This window comes from Homo sapiens, chromosome 18, assembly GCF_000001405.40.
Source record: "Homo sapiens chromosome 18, GRCh38.p14 Primary Assembly".
Lineage (NCBI taxonomy): Eukaryota > Metazoa > Chordata > Mammalia > Primates > Hominidae > Homo > Homo sapiens.
Genome location: NC_000018.10, coordinates 74,194,305 through 74,202,723, shown reverse-complemented (window position 1 = coordinate 74,202,723; position 8,419 = coordinate 74,194,305). Strand labels below are relative to the sequence as shown.

The 8,419-nt window shown below is 47.9% G+C and overlaps 1 annotated feature.

Annotated features, from left to right (window-relative positions):
• Positions 4,467-5,123: an enhancer, noted in NCBI's record as "H3K27ac-H3K4me1 hESC enhancer chr18:71864836-71865492 (GRCh37/hg19 assembly coordinates)". NCBI's record gives its function as "activates a minimal SCP1, AML or CMV promoter by ChIP-STARR-seq in naive H9 embryonic stem cells {active_cell/tissue: H9 hESC(naive)}" and the evidence as "EXISTENCE:reporter gene assay evidence [ECO:0000049][PMID:30033119]".

The window sequence follows — 8,419 nt, the reverse complement described above, 5'->3', positions numbered from 1 at the left end:
TGTGTCCCTCATCTTACCAATCACTGGGGTCCTGGGCTCTGACTGGCCTGAGGTCCTTCTGCCATCACAGAGCAAAACAATTCACTTGGCAGCTTCTGCTCCTCCCATGTCCCAAGGACCCCCTGCCCAGGGTTGGGGCCCATTGAGGCATCCAGTCACCAGCTCAGACTGAGACCCTTTCCTGTAAGGCTTCATGCAGATACCCCTCATATCTGTGGGGTCAAACCCCTCAGCTCCAAATCTCTGAGCCTCTGAATGCATAATCTGGTTGTGCGTTTTGGTTAGATTGATCAAAGCACAGCAGGACTCACCTTTAAGTTCTCAGGTGACAGCAGCATTATCAAAGCCCTTCTTGGGTTTATTTCTATTTCTAGTTCCTAGGGAAGAGAAAAAAAAAAAGGGGATGATATATAACACTGAACAAGCATTTACTTACGTAATCTCATTTAATCCTCACAGCCAGCCCACTGTATTAGTTGCCCAGAGATGCTGTAACCAAGTACCATAGACTAGGTGGTGTAGTAACAGAAATTTACTCTCCCACAGCTCTGGAGGCCAGAAGTCCAAAATCAAGGTGTCCTCAGGGCCATTCTCCCTCTGAAGACTCTAGGGGAGGGTCCATCCTGCTTCCTCCAGCCTCTGGAGAGGTGGTTGTTGGCAATCCTCTCTGTTCCTTGATATGTGGGTACATTACTCCAATCGCTGCCTCTGTCCTCGCCTGGCCTCTGCATGTGTATCTCTCTGTGTCCCACCTCTTCCCATAAGAACACCCGGCACTGGACTTAGGGCCCATCCAAATCCAGTATGATCTATCTTCATTCACACATTAATGATATCTGCAATGATTGTATTTCCACATAAGGTCACATTTACATATCTTTTTGGGGGGATGCAGCAAACTTCCAACACTTACCTTGATTTTATAGATGACCAGGTCAATATTTAGAGCAGCTAAGTCATCTTTCAGGTTTTAGTTTGTGTTGGGGATGCAAAATTTCTCCTCAGCCCTTTTAGAGTTGCTAGATGAGCCCAGTGAATCCACTGACAGAGACAGCTTCAGAGGAGAAAAGTAGGCAGATTTTATTAAGTAATTTTTGTATAGACATGGGAGCCCTCACAAGAAAAACGAAGACCCAAAGAAGGAGTTGGGGCCACGAACTTATGCACTAGGTTGAACAAAGTGTCATAAATTGTGGAAACATGACAAGACAAAGGGGCTTGGGTAGGGCAGTCAGTTGGGGGCAAATGACCAGGAAGGTAAGTGTTGGCTTCACAAGGTTTGTTTGTAGAGCACCCTGGGCTTTGACTCTGATGACAAGGATCTCTTCCTTTCTCCTGGTGGAGGGGGGGCATCTTTCACACAGGGTTTCATCTCTTGCTTACAGGAAGAAAAAGGAAAGTCAGGGTCTCCTTCTTGCACCTGCTGGTTTTCAAGTGCCCTGAGCTCAGAATAATCCTTACGCCAAAGCGGCATGTGTTGGGGCGGCCTATTCTACTGCCCTTCATTTTTAAGAGGGCAGAGTCAGGGTTCACAGCCGATTCTGTTAGAGTCGGAGCCTGTGTCCCTTCTTCAGGGCTATGCAGCCCACCTGGGGCCACTGGCATGACCCCTCCTGCACCACTGTCATTCACCTTTAGTCGTGCAGAGCGTGAGTCAAAGTCCCTCCCAGGCGGCTTAGGGCAGCACCCGCAGTGTTGGAATGGAAGCGCCAATGCATCCTCCCTCCATGAGAGCAATGCCCGAGTGGGAATCCTGGCTGGGGAGTGCAGCTCTCCCCACGTGGCCCTGGGCGCTTCCCACGGGGGCTGAGGGGAAAGACGGACTCTGCAAACCACAGTCCAGCCAGGGCCACAAAAGGAGAAGGGGCGCTTCAGACCCCGTGTGCGTTCAGAAGCAGAACAAACAGGACACAAGTCGTGGCGTTGCCGCTCTGTCTCCTGCCCAGATATTCCAGTGGACACACAGGGAGATTTTATGTCCTTTGAACAGAAAGAGAAGCTGTTTGAGGAAATAAAAGAAGAAAAGGAGATTGTGAAATCTAAGAGTCTTTTATTTTCCTGTGTGCGATGTTTGGCAAAGTAGGAGAGGAGCATGAAGAAGGGCCCCTATGTGACTTATGTTAGAAATGTCTTAGTCAAACGGGTCCGCGGAGTCGTCCTTCTCAGGTGCCCTCCCGGGAAAGCTGGCAGCAAAATTATTTTTATCCCAAATAACTAAGGAAGCCGAGGTTTTGTGATTGGCTTCCCACCTCCTTTTCTGTTCTTTGTGGTAGTCATCTGAGCAACTTACACACACTGCATCACAGTTTTCCTCTCCCATGAACTGAAAAACATTTAATTTTTATTTTTTTCCCATGGATTTTGGCTAAATCAAGCACTCTTCACACCAGGCACATAAGAAGAAAATAAGGAAGCTGATCCATTGGAGTTTAGTGAATGAAGAAATCGTGCCTTCTGTCCATGCCCCACACTCCCAGCCCCCCGCCCACAACGGAGAACACACAAGCACCAGTGCCCCACACCACCCAGGGTAGAATGTGGCCATCGCAGGATGAGAGGCTCCTGTGGGAAGGAGAGCCCGAGGAGGCTGGGTGGAGCTGCACCTCGTTAGCCTTCATCTGGACAGTTTCTAAGGGACTCCCTCCTTGGGCCCATCCTGCCTGGCTCACGTCTCCTCTTCCCAAGGACGGGGCTTCGCTCCTTCATAGTCTGGCTGGGAAGTGAGAGAGCCATAACCCCATGGACACAACCTGAGACTTGATTGTTGGGAGACAAGATGATTTTACAGAAACATGTTTTATTTTTTTTCAAATGACTTTGTTGCAAAGTCCCCGCTTTTTTTTTCAAGAGATGGGGTCTCACCCTGTCACCGAGGCTGGAGTGCAGTGGCACCATCATAGCTCACTGCAGTCTCAACTCCTGGGCTCAAGCCATCCTCCTGTCTCAGCCTCCAGAGTAGCTGGGACTACAGGTGCCTGTGACACCAGGCCCAGCTAATTTTTAGTTTTTTTTGTAGAGATAGGGTTGCTAATTTTTAATTTTTTTGTAGAGATAGGGTCTTGCTATGTTGCCCAGGCTGGTCTTGAACCCCTGGCCTCAAGCAGTCCTCCCTCCTGGGCCTCCCAAAGTTCTGGGGTTACAGGTGTGAGCCACCGCACCTGGCCCAATTTATTAATTGCCCCCAACATATCACGGGCATGACGTTTTCCTCTTTCCCAGGGAGAAGATGATGATAATAACAGTTGCTAACACTCTCTGAGCTATATGCCAGGTACCATTATGAGTGCTGTGTATCCAGTAACTCGTTTTTATCCTTGAAAAAGGATTTTGAGGAAAGGAGTGTACGTGTCCGTGTCCTTGTTTCACAGATGAGAAAACAGCTACAAAGAGATTCAGTTACTTATTTAAAGTCTCATAGTTAATAAGGACTCCAAGCTTCAAGCTCTTCACCTCCACTAGGCTGCTGATGTAGCAAACTTCCCAATTTTTCTTATCCTTATCACCCAAGGTATAATAATTTCAAATGAACTTTTAGAAAGTGTCTACAGTCTTGGGTTTTCCAGTAGTTTCTGGCATGGCTTGTTAACCCGCTGGCCATCACTCGTAACCTCCCCACCCCTGACCTGGGCTTTGAAAGCGTTTTCTTCCTCCTTTGCACTGTGGCCTGAGAAGCCTCCCTCCAGCAGTTCACCCGGACCTCAGGTCCATCCTGTCCCCACCTCCAGCTCCCTTACCCAGACCTCAGGCCCATCCTGTCCCCACCTCCAGCTCCCTCACCCGGACCTCAGGTCCATCCTGTCCCCACCTCCAGCACCCGGACCTCAGGTCCATCCTATCCCCACCTCCAGCTCCCTGTCAGAGCGCTGCTAAGTCCTGGGGCCTATTGCCATCTCATAGGCAGTCTGAGTACTTCATGGAAGCCCTATTGTCTTCCATTTCCGACCCTGTCCCATCTTGGCAGGATCTGTTGGCCAGATGATGCTGGCCTCCCATGTTGTACACCCAGGAGCCACTTCCTGCCATGCCCAGCCACTGTGACTGAGTCTGCTCTCCCCTGAGCCACCAGGGCACCTGAGCAACATCCGGACACCTGAGGCCTCAGGGCACCACAGCTGTGCTGGGTGCAGTGCGTCTGTGCCACCTCTGTTGTCTGAGCACTGAGGGGCACAGGGCACAGCCCATCTGCATGGACATGCTGCTCCCTAGGACTTAGGATTTGGATGTAAGGACCAGGACCTGGAGGTGGCTCTTGGAGCTGGCCATGTCATCCAAGTGGACCCTCCTTTGGGGATACCCTCATTCTCTGTTTGCCCTCTCTTCCTGCTCATCCTCTTCTAGCTCTGAGTCCCATCAACAGCTCCTGTTCCAACCTCGTGCCCTTCTGCCTGAAGCCTGAGCAGTGGAGCCAGGCCCCACCATGGCCTGACCTGCAGGCTCTGGCATTGTCCCAGCGCACTGTGTCCGGGAGCTGGACGTCCCCACCTGGCATGGCCCCAGTGGCTGAGCATGGGCTTGCCCCCACCCACAACCTGATTGCTCTCTTTCCCTCTGCCTCAACCCTGGGCAGGGACCAGGGGGACTGAACCACTGCCCCCGCCCCGGCCGAGCCTCCTCAGCCCCCTGGCTCTGACTGCTGCAGGCAAAGCTAGGATGCATGTTGCCCAGGGTTTACAGGTCATTCTCTGCATCCAGCTGACTTATGCCACTGGCTTACAATCCCGGGAAACTCCTGGGGGTGGTGGTGCCGAGCCTAGGTTCCCCTGGGCTCAGGGAAGCTGGGTTAATCTCCGGTGAGCTCCATGCCCAGGGCATGGGGAAGTGGCACAGAGAGCAGCCTCTGGATCGTTGGCCTGGTAGGGATTTCCGGGTTCATGTTCTGCCCTTTGTTTAATGTCCCTTTCAGCTCTCCAGTTATGCAAAACAGAGGAGCCATACCCCACTTCACAGAAACAGGAGGCCCACAGGCATGCACCAGGAGAGCTTCCTGCCCTACTGGCTTCTCCAAGTGGGAGGGGAGGAGCATTTCCGGGACCAGGCTATATACAATGTGGCTTTTGGAGAAAATACATTTAAAAAACTCTTTCTCAAATTAAAATATATCTTTTAAAGTGTTTTTTCTTTTTTTTTAGACAGAGTCTCCCTCTGTCACCCAGGCTGGAGTGCAATGGTGTGAACTCGGCTCAGTGCAAGCTCTGCCTCCCAGGTTAATGCCATTCTCCTGTCTCAGCCTCCCGAGTAGCTGGGACTACAGGTGCCCGCCACTGCTCCTGGCTAACTTTTTGTATTTTTTTTTTTTTTTAGTAGAGACAGGGTTTCACCGTGTTAGCCAGGATGGTCTTGATCTCCTGACCTCATGATCCGCCTACCTCGGCCTCCCAGAGTGCTGGGATTACAGGAGTGAAAGGGTTTTAGCAAATTAAGCTTCTTATGGGGGAAAAACATCAGGGGAATGTTTCATAGTCCCTTTGAGATTTCTAATGCACTTAGGTCTTGGGGATTTTGTACTCACTTTCTTTTTGCTTTTTTCTCTGATAAATCCAGTGATGAACAAAATATTCCCTTTGGGAGAGAGTGGGAATGATTTCAAACTTCCAACATTTCAAGTAATAAACACTTTAAGAGTATATCAATTGCTTCACTTTTCCCATTAAATGCATGTTACTTTACATACTGGCCATATCCCTTTTGTGCAAAATACAACACAAGTTTAGCTGAATTCTCTCCCTCCCCCAAAGAGTGAATTACTCCCTTACCCATGCTGCCTGTCCCTGTGCAAATGTTGGCTCTGGTACTTGTAGTTATTTGTGCTTCCCATTCATCTATTCTTGAGGACAAGGATTGAGTCTTTTTTCAAATTTGTGGCCTCATTGTCTAGCACAAAGGCTTATGGAATGCAAACTGTAATATTTAAATATTTGTTGAATACATGGAGGCTGTGTCCAAATTTTTTAAAATTTAATTGGACTTACTAGGGGATATCGAAATGTAAATAAATGCTATATAAAATATATCTTAAAGAGACAAATACCTTTAAAAGGATATTCTAAAGGAAGAATGGTCTCAAAAGAATGCCTTTATAGTGTAAATAATTATCAACTTAGTTAATATCATAAACCTGGGTGGATCAATTCATTATGGTGGTGTCGGTTGCCCTCTAGTGGCCATGAAGGGGTAAGGCGTCATTTAGGCTCTGAAGACCCTGAATTTCTGTTACGATGGCTGAGAACCAGGAAGCCTTCTCACCCACCCAGCAGAGGGAATTGGTTTGGAGACAGAACAAAACGACAAAAGGCAAACAGTAGAATCAACTCAACGATACCTGGTTCTTTCATATGGAATACTTAACATTCTTCCTCTATTTACAAAGACAAACAAAGAGCCAAAGCCTCAGGTATGAGCAAATGAAGGTTAGGGCTCCCTCTTTTGATGAAACGCATTAATCTACCATTCTGAGCATGTTTGCTGCCGTGTACTGAAAAGTTAAACGCATGGCAGGAAGGAATAGAATCAGTTCTGTCTTCTTTATCTTCATTACTCCTCTCTCCTTTGGATCAATGGAAGACGCAAAGACAAGATGTAGAACTCTGTATGTTTCAGAATACTATGAACGTTTTTGGTTCCATTGCCCATTTTTGGTATGGTGGAATGATTTTGCTATTCTAAGCAGCATATAAATCTGGATTTGGGAAAGTTGTATACCTGGATTCCTCAGCAATGGTTTATTTTCTCTCAGGGCTCTGGCACTCGGGGAGGCAAGAGGAGGACTCACTTTGGGCACCCAATTTAAAGGAAGTGACAAAAACTCAGTCATCAAGATAAATTATACACACACACACACACACACACACACACACACACACACATATATATATATATATATATATATATATATATATATATATACAGAGAGAGAGAGAGAGAGAGAGAGAGAGAGAGAGAGACAGAGTCTCGCTCTGTTGCCCAGGCTGGAGTGCAGTGACGCAATCTTGGCTCACTGCAACCCCTGTCTCCCGAGCTCAAACAATTCTCCTGACTCAGCCTCCCAAGTAGCTGGGATGACAGGCGCACACCACCACCTGGTTAATTTTTGTATTCTTAGCAGAGACAGGATTTCACCATGTTGGCCAGGCTAGTCTCGAACCCCTGACTTCAAATGATCCACCTGCTTTGGCCTCCCAAAATGCTGGGATTACAGGCATGAGCCACTGCACCTGGCCTGGATAAATAATACTTTAAAGAAATATTTTTTAAAATCAAAATCCATGCAGAATATCCAGGATTAACAAAATGTCAACACTTGCAGTAAAGACACGATCAGAGATACTGGTTTTTCCTTTGCCCCAGTCTCCACTGTGGTCTGGCATGGCACTGTTTCCTCTTTGCCCAAAATGAGCTTGTTAAGAGAGCAACATTGGCCGGGCATTGTTGCTCACATCTGTGATCCCAGGACTTTGGGAAGCCGGAGTGGGAGGATTACTTGATACCAGGAGTTTAAGACCAGTCTGGGCAACAGAGTGAGACCCCGTCTCTACAAAAAAAAAAAAAAAAAAAAAAAAATAGCTGGGCGTGGTGGCACGTACTTGTAGTCCAGCTACTTGGGAGGCTGAGGTGGGAGGATGGCTTGAGCCTGGGAGGCCAAGGCATCAGTGAGTCGAGATGGCACCACTGTACTCCAACCCAGGCGACAGAGCAAGACCCTGTTGGGGGAAAAAGAGAGAGAGAGAGAGCAGTGCTTCTGTGTGGGTCAGAGCCCAGCCTCTGTAGCTGGGGGAGCTGGATTTTGAAACAGATGCTGCTGTTGCTTACTCAAGAACCTGATTCTTGGCAAAGTTCATACCTTATCTCATCATCATTGTGAATCCTTAGAAGCACATAGTCGTTCCTGGCTGGGTCAGGCAGATGAGATGAAAGGAGGAGGAGGGATTCTCAGTGTGAAAGACTCATCCCACTGCTGTTGGCTTTGAAGATGGAGGAAGGAGACCAAGAGCCCAGGAGTGTGGCAGCCTCTAGAAGTTGGGAATGGCCCCAGATGACAACCAGTGAGAAAGCAGTGACCTCAGTCCTACAATCTTGAGGAACTGAATTTGCCTGTAACCCAAATGAGCAAGGAAACAGATCCTTCCCAAGAGCCTGTAGTGAGTTTCTCAGCCCTGTGGACACCTTGATTCCTTTCCTTTCTGATCTTCTCCTCTTCTCATTCTACCATCTCCCTTAGCAGTCCCAGCCACTCCTCAGATGTTAATATTTCTATGCCACTTCCAAATCTTTTTGAAAGAAGAGATTTTCCAAGTCTTTGCCCATCTACAATGAAAAAATTCATTAAGGAATGTGAAGAACATTATTATTTCTTCTTACTATAATATTTCTTTTTTTCCTCAAAATGATTCTGACTTTAGGTGAGAGGTTTTCAACTATGATG